Here is a 19,983-nt window from a genome sequence, read left to right on the forward strand (position 1 = left end):
ATCTTGGCTCACTGCAACCTCCACCTTCCGGGTTCAAGCGATTCTCCTGCCTCAGCCTCCTGAGTAGCTGGGATTACAGGCATGTGCCACCACACCCGGCTAATTCTGTATTTTTAGTAGAGACGGGGTTTCTCTATGTTGGTCAGGCTGGTTTTGAACTCCCAACCACAGGTGATCCGCCTGCCTTGGCCTCCCAAAGTGCTGGGATTACAGGCATAAGCCACTGCGCCTGGAGGTAAATAATTCTTTATATTAAATGCCCTGTCCAAAGTACTGTGTAGTCTCTCTCTCCTGGCTGGACCTGGACTGATACAAGTGAGCTGAAAAAAAATGCTGACAGCTACTTACTATATATAAGACAGACATTATGCCTAGTGTTTTATAAACATTATCACTTTTAATTCTCACTAAAACCCTGTGATATATCACTTTATAGTAAGGAAACTGAGGCTCAGAAAAACTATACAATTTTTCCCCCATATTACAAATCCAGGTCTGTCTTACATTAAAGTCCCTGCTGGCTTTCTACTATGGTGTTTATTTTTCTTCACAGACCTAAGAACATATTTTTTAAAGAAACTGAACATCTATGTGAAAAAGAATTAACGTAGCAGGTCTGACTGCTAAGGTTGGCCTTAGCTAGTATCTGAGAACTGAAGATTTCACAAGGGTTCTATCCCCAGAACTGATCAGAGTGGCTCTTATCTGTTAATGCCTGCTTTCCTTTCGGGAGTCTGGAATTTTGATTTGTGCTAGGGTTAGGGTGCTTATGTGAACAGCCCCCTTCACCATCCCCAGCCAAAAAATCTCAGCACTAAGTCTGTAACAAGCTTCCCTGGTAGACAACACTGTTACAACTTACTGCTGGAGGAATCAAGCAAGTCCTGTGACTCCACTTGGAAAGGACTTTTGGAAGCTTGAGTCAGGTTTCCTCTGGACTTCACCGCATGCACCTTTTTTCTTTGCTGACATTGCTTTATAGCCTTTTACTAGTATAAAGCATAGCTATAAGTATGACTACATCTGAGTTCCATAAGTCCTAGATAATTCACTGGACCTAGGGTAGTCTTGGAGACCCCCCAAAAAAACCTATAATACACCAAGTACTTTGTTAAATGCTGAGGACACAAAGATGAATAAGGCCTTTGCCCTCAAGGAACTTTAGTCTATTTAAATTTCCATTCCTTCATTCCTCTGATCATCACTTCTTAGTCTGTTCACTACTTGAAACAGATTAGATTCATTTCCCTGAGCTAAATTTCATTTAGTGCTGAAGTGATGCTAAATAAATATTTAATAAGTCCATCAGCAAAATCTGAGATACAGAGCTCTAATAGACTCAAAGGCTACACATACTTCCTCTTTACTTTCCCTGTCTTATTGTGTTCTTCATTAAAAATAAATTGACAAATACTTGTACTTTGCTGGTGGGAATGTAAAATGGAGCAGCTGCTGTGGAAAAGAGATTGGCAGTTCTTCAAAAAGTTAAATATAGAGCTACCATATGACCCAGCAATTCCACTCCTAGGTATATACCCAAAGAACTGGAAAACAGGTACTCAAAACCAATACTTGTACACAGATGTTCATGGCAACACTACTCACAATAGCCAAAGGATGGGCTGGGTGCAGTGGCTCACACCTGTAATCCCAGAATTTTGGGAGGCTGTGGCGGGCGGATCACGAGGTCAGGAGATTGAGACCATCCTGGCTAACACGGTGAAATCCCATCTCTACTAAAAATACAAAAAATTAGCTGGGCCTGGTGGCGGGTGCCTGTAGTTCCAGCTGCTTGGGAGGCTGAGGCAGGAGAATGGCATGAACTTGGGAGGCAGAGCTTGCAGTGAGCAGAGATCACACCACTGCGCTCCAGCCTGGGCGACAGAGTGGGACTCCATCTCAAAAAAAAAAAAAAAAAAAAAAAAGCCAAAGGATGGAAACCCAAACGTCCATTAAGGGATAAACAGATAAACAAATTGTGCTATATACACACAAAGGAATATCATTCAGTTATAAAAAGGAAAGAAGTACTGATATATGCTACAACATGGATAAACAATGAAAACACACAGTACTAAGTGAAAGAAGCCAGACATAAAAGGCCATATATTATATGACTCCATTTATATAAAATCTCCAGAACAGGTAAATTCATCAAAAGAGAAAGCAGATTGGTGGTTGCCAGCAGGGAAGGGGAAAGACAGGATGATTGCTTAATGGATACGGGTGATGTATCCATTGAGGGTGATGTAAAAATGTAAGCTACATGGAGATAGTGGTTGTACAGCACTGTGAACGTATTAAATGCCACCAAATTGTTCACTTTTTTAAAAGTTTAATTTTATGTTATATGAATTTAACCTCCATTAACATTTTTTTTAAAAGCAATGCAGTATACACCACAGTACAAATGAAGAAACTTCCTGTTGTTATTTGAATAAGTACTTACAGCTTGAGATAAAATCATCAGTGACTACAATAAATATAGACACAAAAAAGTGCTGTATCTCAATATATACTCTGGAAAACTGAAGATTCAAAGTGGTTCTAAGCAACAATACAGATACTGATGCAGTAGAGCATATACACATTTTTTCCCAAAAAGATAAAATGTTTCTAAATTACATAAATAAATATTTTAAGTAGATATTTGCCTATTTCCCTAAACGCTTAATAGGTTAGCCCTTCCTTTCAATGGAAAAACAGCATTAAGGCCTTATATTCATGGTTTCCTCATATTCAGGCATATATAACACACAATATATATGTTTTTTTATGTCTGGAAGGATATATCCCAAAATGTTTATAGTGGTCATATGTCTTGGTGTTAAATTTGGATTTATGAGTGATATATGTCTTTGTGGGGGGAGGAGGTTTCTTATCTGTATTTTCTAACTGTTCAACAAATGAACATGTATTATTTGTACTTAACTAGAAAAAAATGGAGATAATAACAACACCTACCTCAGGGAAGCTGTGAAGATTAAACGAAACAATATACATAAAGCTCTTAACACAGAATTCAGCATAAGTACACAACAACTGTCAAGCAGTATGGATGGTATTGTTTCTGTTTTTGCAAATACTCCTCAGGATTCAGGATGTATGCCTTATTATCTATGGCGAAAGCACTCATCTTAATCCAGGCCTGGATCACTTCAAGCTTAAATTACTCTAATAGTCTCTTGGCTGGTCCAGCTAAGAGCTAGCCTCCATCCACCCCTGCCCAGCTTTCTTACCAGGGCCAGGGTTAACTACCTAAAACACCACTCATACCACTTCCATAGTAATGGCCCTCCATTGCTTACATGATTAGGTTCCAAATATCCCAAGCCTTGCCCCACTTGGTTATTCTCTTTTTCTTCTCATTTACTCCTTCAGCAAACATTTACTGAGGGACGTTTATGTGTCTGCAACTTGGTAGGAATGCAAAGGAAAATAAGCTAGGGATTCTTTTCTCAAAAGAACTCACAGTCTAGTAAGGGAAAGAGGCATGTAAACAAATACAATATGAACCATGTAATAAAATGTAAATGTATGGCCCAGAGAGAACCAGTGTACATGGTTGATAATCAAGTGAGAAAGGCATAAAGAAATTACAAAGAGGAGACTCACAGTAGGTAAGACTTGAATGGGGTTTGGAGGATGACCACAAATAGCTAATTTCCAGATAGAAACTTTACTCAATTTACTTCACACCTTGGCACGTTCTCAAACATCAACTCAAGCAAAATTCAGCAAAATCCCACCTCCCTTCACAATGTAATCCTCTAACTCTAGCCCACGCTCTTTCAATTTGTGGGTCAAGATCCATTCATGACTTAAAGAACCAATTTAAGAGGTTTCAACCACTACTGAAATGAAAGATTAGAGAACTAGAGCTGCAATTCTCAAACTTTTTTGATTTCAGAATACCTTAACACTTTAAAAAATTACCAAAGACTCCAAAGAGCTTTTGCTTCTGTGGTTATAACTACTGCGATTTTCCTATGAGAAACTAAAACTGAGTACTTTTAAAAATATGTTAATTCCTTTAAAAGTATCAATAATAAACCAACCATTATATTAGCCTAAAAAATATTTTATGAAAATGGTTTAGTTTGTAAACTAAACCAGTGAGAAGAGTATCATTATTTTACATTTCTACAAATATTTTTAACATCCAACTTAATAGAACAGTGGTCCCCAATCTTTTTGGCACAGGGACTGGTTTCATGGGAGATAATTTTTCCATGGGGGGTGGGGTAGGGTGGGGATAGTTTCAAGATGAAACTGTTCCACCTCAAGTCATCAGGCATTCGATGGAACAGGCAACCTAGATCCCTCGCACGCGCAGTTCACAGTAGGGTATGCACTCTTATGAGAATCTAATGCCGCCACTGATCTGATAGGATGTGGTGCTCAGGCAGTAGTGCTTGCTGCTCACCTCCTGCCGTGTGGCCTGGTTCCTAACAGGCCACAAGCCAGTACCAGACTGTGGCCTGGGGATTGGAGATGGAATGGAGGATGGCTGGATTCTCATACCTGCTTCTGCATTCAATCTGTTTCAATATTATTCTGAAGTATAAGAAAGAAATTTGGCATTCCATGGATATGTATCTGGAAGAGGCAAGGTATTTTAATAGCCTTTTCGCCTATCTCTAGATATTCTTCTTTAATACTGTACCAAAGGTTAGTTGCAATGTGGCATGTGAAACCTTATCAATGAATTTTTTCATACTGTTAATATAAAAATTCATTGATCTTGTACTTGGAATAGATTTTTTTTGCCTATGCATGATTTTGTAACATTATGTGTTGTTCATTTATAAAATACAAGTTCACTAAGTTATAAAGATCTTCCAACTGTTGACACATCTCATTATATAACATCAAAAAATTCACATTCACTAATATCACCACCAATCTCATCTGAAAAGTCTTTTAAGGTTCAGAGCTGTCAAGCTCATAGGCCAGGATACAAGTTTTCCAAAACTCTAGTTTTTGCTTGAAAGTTCAAATTTTATCACTGGCCACAAATATCAGTTTTCCTTAAAATGACAGGCTTGCTTCATTTTTTTTTTTTTAATTAAGACAGGGTCCTGCTCTGTTGCCCAGCCTGGAGTGCAATGGTACAATCTCAGCTCACAGCAACCTCCACCTCCTGGGTTCAAGCAATTTTCCCACCTCAGCCTCCCAGGTAGCTGGGACTACAGGCACATGCCAGCACACCCGGCTAATTTTTGTATTTTTAGTAGAGACGGGGTTTCACCATGTTGGCCAGGATGGTCTCGATCTCCTGACCTCATGATCCCCCGCCTCAGCCTCCCAAAGTGCTGGGATTACAGGTGTGAGCCACTGCGCCTGGCCACCTCATTCATTTTTAATAAAACGTCCGAATACCATAGTCTATCAGTTGTTCTTTCAAATAAAAATGGCATCCCATGAAAAAAGTTCAGCTGGCAACTCAATCACAGAAGCAGTTTTCCTTTAGATAACTGTCATACTTAGTATGCAGCAGAAGTGCTTTATTTGTATTACCCATTTTGCCAAAGAGATTATTTAAAAGATTCATAACCGAGGATGGAGAATTAGTAATAGTAATAATTTTTACTACTTCAGCAGGAACACTGAAGTGAAACTGTCTTTCTCCCCTTCTTTAACTGTTAAGTGTTTGGTGGTGAAGAACATAACTACTCAGTCGTCATTACATTCTTTGGTACAGGCAGTTTGTGGCATAATAAGCCCATGTCCTAGTTTTGGCCTGTCACAGTAGCATGTGTAGTGAGGTATGGGGGAAAGTACAGTTATTAGAATCACACTGATCTACGTCTCTGGTAACCAACTAGCTCTATGGCTGTGGAAAGCTAATTCATCTCTCAGCCTCAAATTCTTCCATCTTTAAATGAGAATACTACCTACCTCATAGGATTGTTACAAGGATTGAGGTAATACATGCAATATCTTACACAGTGCCTGTTCCTTAATGGGGTGGCCCTGTTAACAATAATAATAAGAAGAAACAGTATCTTAGTTGTATGTAACACTTCACCACATACCAACACACAGGCAGTTCTGACTAGTACAGGACCACAGATTATGAGGGGACCCATAGGGATCATCTAATTCTAATTCAGCTACTTTACTTGCACCCTCCTTACCTTGCAACCATATTCACATAGCACAGACTGACCTTACAGATAAGAAAACCAATGTACCACAAGGTTTTAAATGTCTTTCTCAAGGTTACAGAGCTAGTCTAAGAAGCAGAAATTGGTGTCAAGCACATCCTCCTACTCATAACAATTCTGTTAGATAGATAACATTATTCTCTTTTGATTGATAATGGAAACTCAGGTTCATTCCCTTGAGTTTCAAGTGACATGTCCAAGGTCACAAAAACAGGCCTGGAACCCAAGTCCTCTCATTTGTAGTTCTTCCAACCGTAACTTAGAAATCTGTCTAAATACATGATTCACTCTGTGCAATCATTGATAATTATCTACATCTGGATCTGAATGGAATAACAGACTAACAGACACAATTATGTGAATACTCATTATGACTAAATATGCCAATTGATAACCACCAACAAATCAGTTTGTGTTGTGATATTTCAATTTAAACTGGTGTTTCACTAAACTGAAGACTTCACAAGCTTTGGCATTTAAAAAAACAAAAGATACCTCTTAATTAGCCTCAGAGTATAAAAGAAATACATTTCAAAGGATCATTCTGCAACATTCAAAAAAGTCCCTTTAAGACAGGCTGAGTTGACTATCACAGTCTAAATTTAAATTAACAATTCTACCCCAAAAAAAGTCATTATAGACAAAATAATAAATTTTATTTTAATTGATAGACATTATTTCAATTGAGTTTTATAACAGTCTCTTCACTCACATTGCTATTGAACATGATGTTAAACCAGCTCTGGTGTTTATTAGAGGAACAACTTAGGACAAGTTACTCACCTTTCTGGGCCTCAATTTTATTTTCTGGTCTATAAAATATATGTGATCATGTCTACACCTTGCAAGGATGTTAAGTTTAGGCACAAGGTATACAAAGCACCTGAAAGTATACCTACCCCATAGAGAAAAACTATTATTGTAACAATTTTTATTATATGCTTTGAGTTCACAATCCTGCCTATCCCTAAGTCCATTAAGATCTGGGTAAAACTGGACTTTTCTATTTCCTCCTGCTGCTGTTGCTTCCAATGCCCTACTGGCTACAACTGCCAACTCTCTGACCTAGACTCTCTGCCACCTACTACTAGTGTCCTCAGAGCAAGTCCCTGAACTTCCTTTTATTGTATTAATTCCCTGGTCAGAAAGAAGATAATGCTCATTACTTACCAATTCAGTGATCTTCTGATAATTACCACGTTAATTCTTGCTTGGAACCAATCTAAAAGACTTCAAACAACTTCAAACCTACCGAGGATTTTTTTTCTTGATGCCAAGTTTTAAAAACCAGGAATTACATTTTTTTAAACAAATGGTCAACTATTAAGAATTCATAAAAGAGCTGCCTGTCATATCTCGTTATACTTTGATTCCTGTATCAACTCAATTACTCAAATCCTTTAGTTCTTCATCTTCTAGCCCTCTTAGATAATAGTCTCCATTAAGTAAAAGGCATTTTGCAGAAACAGATAGAGAAAACTATATATATATATATATTGTGTAAAGCTTAGTTTTCTGCAAGTACAATTAAATACTCAAGATAGCTGGGAGAAGGGCAAGAAGAGCCCACAGAGATGAGATGGTACTGAGACTCCACTGGTGGCCCTTTCTAAGGGACTAGAACTACACTACAGATTTATCAATGAAAGGTTGAAGGCAAGGGAAAAGGAAAAGCCAGTGACATATGCAGGCACTGCAATGCGCTAGATAATTGATATACATTATTTCTGGGTATTATTTCCATTATCAGGTGAGGAGAGTCAGACTCAGAGAGATTAAGTGACTGGATCCAGGCCAAATAGCTAGTAAACAGTAGAGCCAGAGCCATAATTATAACTGTTCTTTCTGTTACATGTTACGCAGCAGTTTAGTCCAGAAAAGCATTTACCCCTAGGCCAAGAAATAGGGAAGGTAAGTGTATGATTATCTATACACTGGTTTAGCCACACTGTTTCCCTTCCAGCAATGGGAAAAATGGAGAGATAATTCATCTTTAACCTGCGGTTATCACCCAATTATTCCCATTGGTAGAAGAAAAGCAGTGCTTCTCAAATGTTAGCATGCAGACAGGTCACTAGGTATCTTGTTAAAATGTAGATTCTGATTCAGTAGGTCTACAGTGGCGTCTGAGATTTCTGCATCTACCAGGAAATGAAGCTTCTAGTGCTGGGGCCATACTGTAAACAGATTATACTCAATAGTTCCCAATCTTGACCGATCATTTGAATCACCTGGGAATAATCTAAAAACTACAGATTTCCCTCCTTGATTCAGTAGTGTCTGGAATGAGGTCCAGGTTGACTTCAATACAGTCATCCCTTGATGTCCATGGGGGACTGTTTTGAGGACCCCTCTCAGACACCAAAATCCACAGATGCTCAAGTCCCTGATGTATAATAGCACAGTATTTACATATAACCTATGTATATCCTCCCAGAGATTTTAAATCATCTCCAGATCACTTATAATACCTAATACAGTGTAAATGCTACGTAGTTATTTAGTATTTTTATTTGTATTATTTTTATTGTTGCATTGTTATTTTTTTTCTGAATTATTTTCAATCCGTGGTTGGTTGAATGCACAGATGTGGACCCCACAGATACAATACGCCAACTGTACAGAACAGGGACTACTGAGCTATACTATCTCCAGGCACATTCTACCTCAGAATTCTGTAATTCAAAGAAATATATAATTATTACCGACAATAATCACAGCAAGCACTGACTGAGAACACACCAAATGTCTAAGAGCTTTATATATTAGCTTACTTAGTCCTCAAACCACACTGTGAGGTTGGTACTCACAGCACTATCATTCCCATTTTACACATGAGGAAGCCAACGCACCAAGAGACTAACTTGTCCAAGGTCAGTGAGTGAACTGCAGAACAGGGGTTCAGACTTGAACCAACCCGATTTCAAAGAGTCTGTGCCCTCAGACACACCATCTAAAGCTGCTTCCCACATTACCCAATGGTAATGTCACTGATTTTAACAGACACACTTGAACAAATAAATCCAAATGGGTCACCTCAGAAGATGTCGCCCTGGGAAGGCTATGTTCTTATTCCTCAGATGCTACCATCATTCAAAACACGGCCACTGCTAAACTAAACATTTAAAGAGCCCTTGATCTGAAAATGAAAATGCCTTCAGAGCCTAAACCCATGACTTTAAGTATCTTCAAATGGGGTAAAAGCTCACCATTTGAGCACAGATTTGACTTTTTGACAACACCACAAAATCACGAAGAGCCAATTCGAAGAAACCTAGTGTCTTTCAAAAACCTAGGTAGGTATTTTTTTAAATAAAAAAATTCAGTGTTAGGTATTGAAAACGTTTTCCTCATCACTCATCTCTAAAGCCGATTCCGAATGAGAGTTCCTCAGGTTTTGCGCAATGGTTGTATCACCAACCAAGGTGACTATTTTGAAGGGCAATATTCATTTGGATGCACAGGTTCTGTTATATTTGTTTAAAAAAAAAAAGCAGCCTCTTAGTCATACCAAAAGAAACACATTTGCCCTTCACTATCAGCACAAACATGCATATGTTCAGAACAACTGTCTTGAAGCATGCAGTTTTCCTTTCTGCTGAAAAAGCAACTGCTTTGATATTCTTTTCAGATTATTTTTAAGTGTGTTTTATTTATATACACCCATCCATATAAAAAAAATACCATCAGCAGGCATTAATGAAGCATTTAACTGCATGCAGCACCATAAAAGGTATTGTACAAAGGCAACTATATACTAAAATATGCACACAAATACCCTCACATACAAGGGATAAAGGCACACACAAATACTTCAGGGATACAACTATAAAAAGATATTACATTGCTACATCTAGATGAGCTCCTTTGTTAAATAAATGTCTTCTTTCAACAAAGAAAATACTCTGCAAATTCAGAATGGTTTCCAGATTTTTTTTTAAATCAGGCATTAATGCAGCTCAGCACAATTCCACACGACCGACCTCTCTGCTTGAACTGGACTCCCCACACCTTACTGAAGCCACAATTCCCCTGCACAAACTCCCACTCCACCACCCCCCACACACCCAACTCCCCACCAACCTCACAGGGGTTCCTGGGCTGGTCCATGGAATCTGATGACATCACTCTCTCTTCCTTCCTGGAATTCTAAACCCTGCTGCTCTCCCCTTGCACACAGCTACCATCTCCATGGTAACCTCACCTCCTCCTGCTTCCCTATTGGCTTCATGGAGCAGGATACACAAAAAGGTTTTCCGTTCTCCCCACACCACCCGCCCCAAAAAGACGATGCTTTCAACAGGAACCTGAGCTAAATTTAGCTACTTGGGATTCAGAGTCCTATGACTAAGAAAACACAGAGAAATGTCCTCCTTCCAACATTGTACCCTCCTCTCAACCCCACCCAAAAGTGGCTGCTTCACCTCCTCCTCTCTGGTCCCCAACCCAAAAGCAAGTAGTGATATCTGCTGAGCATTAAAAACAACCAAGCCACCTGCCTCACATATAAGATTGGCAGAGAGAAAATTCTCACATTCACCTCCTCCCAACAGGAGAATTTTTAAAAAGAGAACAAAAAACTATGCAAAAAAACAGTTGGGTCATTTCAGCTGAACATCACAGTGTTCCGCTGTTTCCTTCCATCCTAAGCCAAGGATTGGGAACTCCACGCCTCAAGGCAGAAAAGTCTTTAACCTCTTAGAAGATGGAATTCTCCTGCTATTTCCTTGATATGATTTCCTCCATCATAGGAAGAATAAATGGGGAGGAGAATTAGGTAAAAAGACTGCACACTTCAGTGATCAAACACACTAAGCCTGGAAGCACAAATCCTGGGTCCAACTTTCCATCCAAGGGACTGACCCACTATGTAAACTTAACAAATTCTCACATACCTCATCTAAAAAGCAGCTCCCACACAGGGATATTATAAGAATTACTGACAAAATTAATGTAAATTAGTTTGGGTCCCTGTGTCAAAGGGACTGAATCAAGAGTAAGTTGGCATTATTATTAGTAAAATTCCTGTGGATATTAACAGATGTTAACAATCCCCAGAGGAAGAACATAAACTTTTAGAAAATTATCCTTTCATAATCATAGATATACCATAAAATATACATAACTTCTTGAACCACAGGCAGTTCCTACAAAGGTTTCTACTTCTGGTAAAAATCCAGCTCTACTCACCTCATACACCAGCCAATTTGTGACTAGTATTTTCTTTGCTTAATCCAAACTCTAATTTTGAAATTGTTACTCCTCACTCTCCCTAAATAATGACTAAATATGGACCAGGGCTTCATTCTCTGGCTCAGATGCCCACTTTGCATTCTAGAGAAGTAATTCCTTCTCAGAGCCATATTTGATAGCTGAGCACTGAATCAACGCAGTGGCTATGTCCTATGTGACTCTGAAGGACAAAGTATCAATTGTGACCAAGTAATAAGGGCTCCAAGCAGGTCAGAGCCTTGTAGTAGGAAAGGGAGAAAAGGAATGAAAAAAATAAGGCACACACAGGAAAATTGTATTTTCAGTTTGCAAAGCAGAGACTCAACTCCAGGGCACCAACTCTCCAGCAAAAAAAAAAAAAAAAAAAAAAAAAAAAGACAGGAAAGAAGAATAATTTAGTATAATAACAGTCATCTACCCCACAGAAAACTTAAACAATTTAGAACAATTAGAGAAGTCAAAAGAGTCAAGATGCCTCTAGTTAACACACAGGCATCTAGAAAAAGCTTTATAACTGTTGTGGAAAACAGCAAAGGATGAAGCACATGCTAACAACTGAAACCCACATTGCAGTGCGGGGTGGGGGACAATATGATTAGCCCATCTCTGAGATATTTGTTTTCTTATTTCGCTCCTTGTTGACCTTAACAAGCCATTCCTTGTGTGAAAGCATTCCTATGGACACCATGGTTCCACTGGCTAAGTATTAAGTATGATAAGCACTAATAATTAATTAGTATTAAAAGCACTAATAATTATTAAGTATAATAAGCACAGTCACCTTATTCTACAAGAGGGAGACTAAAGCAGTTTCTGAGAGTGCCCATCAACTCAATTACTAAACTTGACTTATTATGAAGAAATCTATCAGCAATGGCCTAGACTAAGTGGAAAGTTGCAAAACAAAGCTCCATTTATCTACTCTTTGACTCAAACGTACATTAAGAGCACTTATTACGTTCCAAGAGTTTTATATGTGTCATCGCTATTTCAAAAAAATAAAAACACCAACACTAGTATATATTCTTTTTGTTGTTGTTGTTGTTGTTTTTGCAATGGAGTCTCACTCTGTCGCCCAGGCTGGAGTGCGGTCGTGCCATCTCAGCTCACTGCAACCTCTGCCTCCCGGATTCAAGCAATTCTCCTGCCTCAGCCTCCTGAGTAGCTGGGATTACAGGCAAGCGCCACCGGGCCTGGGTAATTTTTGTATTTTTAGTACAGATGGGGTTACACCATATTGGCCAGGCTGGTCTCGAACTCCTGACCTCAGTCGATTTCCACACCTCGGCCTTCCAAAGTGCTGGGATTACAGGTGTGAGCCACTATGCCCTGCCTAGTATACATTCTTACTCCACTTTGCAAACACAGAAACAGAGTTCCAGTGATGTCAAGGTGACCATGGTTATATACTCATTATTTCATTTTTTTTAAAAAGCCAGGATTCTAACCCAGATCTGTTTGGATTCCAAAGCCTGTGCATTTTTCCACTTAGCTTCCTATTTTCAGATAGTGAGGGTTGGAAAAAAACATCTAGAAATCATTTTACATCTGTGTTCTCTTATGCCATCGATAAAATATAGGACACTTGACATCAAGGTCAAAGTCATACTTTTTATGTATTACTAACAGTATTAAACTCTAAGTAGGCACTCAATACTTATTAATTTATTATTCTAATCCTATTATTCTAAACTTCTGGACAAACGGCAATGATTCTACTCAGATCTTTTTAAATTAAAATTGGCTTGAGAAATTACATGCTGAAATGAAATGACAAAACTTCAGATAACATTCTGGAATTAATTTCATAATATTTGAGATGAAAAAAATTATCACTGTCATAATGCCTACACTGGCCCAGTTATAATGTCATAATACCTACACAGTCTATTTGTTGGTTTTAATCCACAAACCCTAATGCAGTCAGGATCTATACATTAGATTTATGATTTCTACATTCCACATATAGAACCAGAGCATTTCTTCAGGGATTCCACTAAAATTAAATCAGCTGATTAGAGGACCATGCTAAAGAGGCCAAGGTCACGTGTCTGCTACCCATGTGAACCAGTTAGCATCATTCTCTCCTACAGCCACAACATACACCCTGTTGTAAACATATATCCTTTTTTACTCGGAAATTAAGGCAAACAATCACCTTTTCTGGAAAAAAAATGTATCTACTGATGTCAAATATTATAATCAGATTTTATTCTTTAGAAAATAGTTATTGTCTTTCAAATAATATTTTCAATCATCCATTCTTTCTTCCAATACTTACTGAATACTTACCACACACCAGTCGATAATCTCAAAAGGCTGGCCCCAAAGAACAAATAAATAGAGCTATGCGTGGTATTCAATATAGCCAAGGTGTATATAGGTATGGTGACAGCACACAGAAGGAAAGGCTACTTTTAGAAGATGCCATGGAGAATGAGCAGGAGTTCATTTAAGTAAATGAGGAAGGTAAGAGCATTCCATGGAGGGAGAACAAAGATTTACAAAGGGATGGTCATAAGACAACATAACAAACTTGAACTTTGAAGAATTTTACTAAGGCCAGGTTCAGAATTGAGAGATATGACCAGCTAAGAGAAGGCAAGGCAACATCTTTTAGATTTTCTACCTAACCCAAATTAGGTTTTCCTAAAATGCCTTACTTTGAGTTAGATTTCCACAGAGTAAAAGGGGGGAAAAAAATTAATATTATGGAGATTTGTTCTCCTCATAGTCTCCATGATAAGAATAATGGCCAAAATGAGGTACATCCTTCTGAAAATGAAGCTGTTAGTGGCTGAGACCCTCAATGAAGAGGTTCTTTTGTCTGCAGAGCAAAATCCAAATCTGCTGCCTTATTAGGTAGAATGAAAATGTCCTTCTTATTCTTGGAGAATTAGTTTAAAAAGTGGTCAATGAAGCTTATTCATCAATTCTACTTTCCTGTGGCTGTTTGAAACAGCATGTTGAATATCTGACAAGCAAATTTACATTAACTTTAAAAAGCACCTTCATCCCCACATAACACCCCAACACATAAACACAAAAATGTATGTGCACACTCACATCCTACAAGCTCGACAGGAAAAGGATCAGTATGTGTATGAAGGGAAAGCTATCTATCAGCTGTAGCAATCACAGAACGCAAGTAGAAGAAAGTAAACTTTCTACCAAAGCGATTACATATACAGAAATAGGCAAAAAACCTAAGTGCATAACTCAATGAATTTTCACAAAGTGACCATCCCCCCGCCCCCTGCCATGTAACTAACACCTAGGCCAAGAAATAGGACATTACCAGCACTACAGAAGCCCATCCTGTGCCTTTGCAAAGTCACTCCCACCAGCCCACAATGACTTTATTTAACACCATAAATTCACTCTGCCTGTTTTGAAGTTTGTATTAATGGAATTGCACATTATGCATTCTTTTGTGTTGGCTTCTTTCACTCCACATTATATCTGTAAAACTGATCCATCTGTTGAGTGTATTCCATCTTATAAATATATCATAATTTACTGAAAAATATTTCAGTAATGTTGAAAGGCCTCTGTGCCATTTCCAGCTTGAGGCTATTCCTAAAAATCCTTGCACATGTCTTTCAGTGCACACATGTATACATTTCGGTTGGGTATGCCTAGGAGTGGAATGACTGGTTATAGGGTACACTTACGTTGAGCTTTGGTAGATACTACCAACTGCCAGTTTTCCAAAGTTGTACCAATTTACATTCCTACCACCAGTACATGAGGGTTCCAGATGCTGAACGTCCTCACTAATGCTTGGTAATGTCTGCCTTTTTCATTTTAGTCATTCTGGAGGTAGTGTGATAATATCTCATCGTGGTTATTTGCTTTAGCCTGATGATTAACGATCCTGACCATTTTTTGGAACATTTGGAGATCATCTTTTGTGAAGTAACTACTCAAATATTTTGCCCATTTTGCTACTGGGTTGTTCAAAAGATTCATTAAAAGAACTTCTTTTATATATGGGTTTGTAGTTGTTATTTAGATATTCTAGAGACTAGCCAGATCCCTATACTACAAATACTTTCTCCTACTTTGTAGTTTGCCTTTTTACTTTCTTTTATATACATATAATTTTTCCCCCTCCAAAAGACAGGGTCTTGCTCTGTTGCCCAGGCTGGAGTGTAGTGGTGCAATCATAGCTCACTGCAGCCTTGAACTCCTAAGCTCAAGCAATCCTCCTTCCTCAGACTCTGGAGTAGTTGGAACAATAGGCACATGGCATTATGCGCAGTCAACTTTAAAAAAAAAAAAAATTGTAGAGATGAGGTCTTACTATGTTGTTGCCCAGGCTGATCTTTAACTCCTGGTCTAAAGCAATCCTCCTGCCTCAGCCTCCCTCCCAAGTAGCTAAGAATACAGGTGTGCACCACCACATCTAGCTTTACTTTCTTAATGGCGTCTTTTAATGAACAGATAATTCCTAAGTTTGATGTAGTCAAATCATCATTTTTTCCTTTATAGTCAGCATTTATATCCAGTTCAAGTAAAGAATATCATGAAAACATTCTTCTTTGTTTTCTTTTAGAAACTTTCATAAAGTAGCATTTAAAATGTGAATTTTCCTATAATCCTAGCACTTCAGGAGGCTGTGCCACCGCACTCTAGCCTGGGCAACAGAGCGAGACCTTGTCTCAAAATAAAAAATTAAAAAAAAAAAATACCCTACCAAAAAAAAAAAAGGACAATGATGTTTTCTTCCACCTAATAGGTCAAACAACTCAATCTATGAATTAAGCAAGATTACATTAAATTAAACTCATCAAGCTTTTATCAAGTGCCTCGTATGCACCCAGGGCTGTGTTAGGTGCTACAAGAGATGAAAATGGTAAGAGATGTTTCCTAACCTAAGTGAATACTAACCTTAGCTAATAATTGCATGACACTCAAATATCAATTGTGTTGAGTGTTTAAATAAAACTGAGAATTTTGACATTGGAGCCCAAAAATAATAAATAACCCTCCACCATCCTCAGCTATCCAAGCTGATTTCAACAAAGAACAGGAGGACAAAGGCATTTCCTTATTAGTGCTACTGTTTCCAGTACACACATCTAAAATCCGTACCATTTACCACTTTTCTTAAGAGTACAAGAAAGAACTTAAAAATGTAAGTTATAAGTCCAGCATCTTCCAGTCCAACTACTTAAAAGAAACAGCAGAATCCAGAAATAATACAATTTTTCCCAGAATAAAAAAAATCTAGGTCATTCTAGCTAGAGAACAGTGGGGCAGGAAAGGAAAAACATGTATATGTATACACATATGCTTTCACACACCCACACAACCCGAAACTTTTTCTTAAGTGTTTTCCAATTTTCTTGTCCACAATTTCTTATCCCTTTCTTCCTGATCTTAGAGAAAAAGGTTACCAAAAAAAAAGCCAAAAGCCAAACTTAAAAAAGAGTCCCAGTGGGTTAGAGATCAAATATATCTATGGCCTCTTTTTATGAAAGATAAATTTAGGGAAGGTCAATCCAGGATGAAAAGTTGAAAGGGTTAGTTAAGGGAAGGGATAGTCATTCAACCAATTTAGATGAGCAACAAGTTTTTAAAGTAAACAGAGTCATCGAGTTTGCTTTATTCTCCTATTCTATCATAAGCCTCAAAATAGAATTATGCGCCTCTCTTAAACACACAGAACGGGAGGGAAAAGAAGCAGTCTGATAATTTTACAGGTCAAGGTAAACCAGATGCTTCACAGACTGGGCTTCCAGGTCTTAAGCACATTTTCTGAAATAAAGCAAGACTCTGTCAGTAAGCTTAAGAGAAGATCTTGAGCTAAGGTAGTAAACAAGAAGAAAAGAAGCTTATGGAATTAAAACTCTTTTATCAGGAAAATGTTCAAAGTCACTCCTCTGATGCAAAACAACAGACAAAGGTTTGACCTGAGGATTAAATTCTTCAACAGGAACCATAATTTCCCATGGCATTCATTCATTCAACAAACTTTCATAAAATGTACACCTACTATGGTCCCATAGTGCTAGGCACCATGAATACAGGTGTGGAAAACAGACATAGTCCTTCCTCTCATGAAGCTCAGTCGAATTGGAGAAAAAGACATTATAACAAGTAAATAAATAAAGACATTGTAGGGAGTCTTCACAGTGATCCCAACTGAAGATATCTTGTTGCTTCACCCCATCAATTCCTACGATTTTCCTCCAAGGTCTACTACTGTCTCCACCGGCAATCTATCCCTACATTCTGAACACTGTCTCTGCTCAAGCAAATCAACAAGATTTCAAGGTACGGCCTGAATTCAGTACTGCAAATGGGTGCCTCTTGCACACAGCACTTAAGAGTACTTGACAAGTGCACATCCCAAAGACAGCAGAGAGCAGTAAAGTGAAGTGGGGTCTCAAGAGCCCCTCATACACTCTCCTTGCACACTGCCCTAGAAGATAAAAAGAGGTACCTGCCTGCCTCTAGATCAGAACTTCTGCCTTTCTGCCATTTCAAAAGTAGCTTTTGTACAACTGCATAAGAATCTACAATTACCCCCAATAAAAATTTCCATTAATTAAAAAAAAAAGCAGCTTTTATGGCCGGGCACAGTGGCTCACGCCTGTAATCCCAGCACTTTGGGAGGCCAAGGCAGGTGGATCACTTGAGGTCAGGAGTTTGAGACCAGCCTGGCAACATGGTAAAACCCTGTCTCTACTAAAAACACAAAAATTCGTCAGGCATGGTGACTTGCGCCTCTGTAGTCTCAACTACTTGGGAGGCTGAGGCACAAGAATCACTTGAACTCAGGAGGTCGAGGTTGCAGTGAGCCGAGATCGCACCACTGCACTCCAGCCTGGGCAACAGAGGGAAACTTTGTCTCAAAAAAATAAAAGCAGCTTTTAGAGCCTTGAGGTCTCTCCATAAACATGACAAAATGGTTTGCCTCCTTCCTCTCTCCAGCATCGGCTCTTTATATATCAGAGGCAGGAAGTTAGTATGCTTAAAATGGGACAAGGATGACAATAAAAATAAGTTTAAAGTGATTTTTTAAAAATCTTTTTAACTACCACATTACCCTTAGAAAGGAGTTTCTTTCTGAGAAGGGTTTGGAATTTATATATAACTCAGAATGTGGAAGAATATGTATCACCTTTAGGCCCAGAACACAATGGGTTGAGGCTGTCTCTGAAACAAAGCTAGCTGTGTGACACTGTGCATGTGCAGTTTTCTCACCCGCAAATGGACTTGAGGCCATTTATCCTAGAGTTCTGATAAATTGTAGGAGATAACATGAGTCTGGTACCTGGCAAATAAGAGCCACTCGAAAAACAAACAACATCTTAGCTACCTTCTCTTCTTTACACCTAGTCAAATGGGGGATTTTAAAAAATCACAGTGAGAAAGATCCTACTGGTGAATTGAGAACATAATTCTCCGTCGGTTGCAATGCTATATTGCTAAGACTCACTCAAGAAGGGTGACCATGTAACTTGTCTTATGCTATCCCAATTCCAAATACCCTGACACATTATTCCTATAGCATCAAAAATATCCCAAAAAAATCAAATATTTCAGCATCCAAACTCTATCTCCCAGACATCCTCGCTACCTAGAAACAGCACTAAAATTTTTCATCAGAGGATATATTGTACATTTAGCTCAAGAAAAAATGTGGCTGGGCATAGTGACTTATGCCTGAAATCTCAGCACTTTGGGAGGCTGAGGCAGGAGGACTGCTCAAGGTCAGGAGCTCAAGACCAGCCTGGGCAATACAGTGAGACCCATCTCAAAAAAAAAAAAAACACACACACTCTTCAATTAACCAGGCATGCTGGCATGTACCTGTAGTCCCAGCTACTTTGGAGACTGAGGTAGGAGGATTGCTTGAGCCCAGGAGCTCGGGACTGCAGTGAGCCATGATTGCACCACTGTACTCCAGCCTGGGCAACACAACAGAGTGAGACCCTATCTAAAAAAACAAGAAGAAGAAATGTGATCATGGTGCTTACGAGAGGACAAAAGGGACACAAAGTATGAAGAGGTCAAAACAAAGCAATGCTGCTAAGGCCTTTATGCCAACACAGTATATTTTTACATAGTCTATCCTAATAAGCTCACATTTACGCAACAACATCAGTACAACAGCTGAGTGGATTAGAATAAAATTGCAAAGACCTAAATGGACCCCTGGGATGGCAGAGTTTCTGTAATCATCAGCTAGACCCAAAAAACTAACAGTCAATACCAGGCATACCCTCAGTCTAACCAGGCAACCAAAATAGAAGCAAAATAGAAAATCAAGTATATATATAAAATATATCCCTGGTGGAATCAGGAGGGCACAAAAGAACAATTCATAGTGCCTGCAGCTGAGTGTCACCAAAAAAATCCTCTTTTAAGCTGTGCAGAGTGCCTGATATACTGCAGTAGGTGGGAAAACGGCCAAATTCAAGCCCACGTCAGAGCACACCAGGTATGCTCCCCTGGCAACAATACTACATGGGATGTGGGTGCAAAACACCTTCCTACTTCCTTTAAGTTTAAAGTCACTGTCACACTCACCCTTTGGCACACAGCTACACAGGGCCAGTGATACTCA

At 38.7% G+C, this 19,983-nt stretch overlaps 1 protein-coding gene across 32 annotated transcripts in view; it reads right to left on the reverse strand.

Annotated features, from left to right (window-relative positions):
* The window catches only part of RBFOX2 (RNA binding fox-1 homolog 2), a 290,089-nt gene that overhangs the window by 212,574 nt on the left and 57,532 nt on the right, over positions 1-19,983 (reverse strand). For 12 of the 32 annotated variants that reach the window (NM_001349995.2, NM_001349994.2, NM_001349990.2 and 9 more), the window contains exon 1: positions 10,254-10,321. The exons of the other annotated variants lie outside the window; for them this stretch is intronic. In NM_001349995.2, the coding sequence (NP_001336924.1) occupies positions 10,254-10,295 (42 nt within the window). In that variant the 5' untranslated portion in view covers positions 10,296-10,321. Of the gene's footprint in view, positions 1-10,253; positions 10,322-19,983 lie in introns of those variants that run through there. 32 annotated transcript variants of the gene reach the window in all.

The sequence above is a fragment of the Homo sapiens genome, chromosome 22 (assembly GCF_000001405.40).
Source record: "Homo sapiens chromosome 22, GRCh38.p14 Primary Assembly".
Classification (NCBI taxonomy): domain Eukaryota; kingdom Metazoa; phylum Chordata; class Mammalia; order Primates; family Hominidae; genus Homo; species Homo sapiens.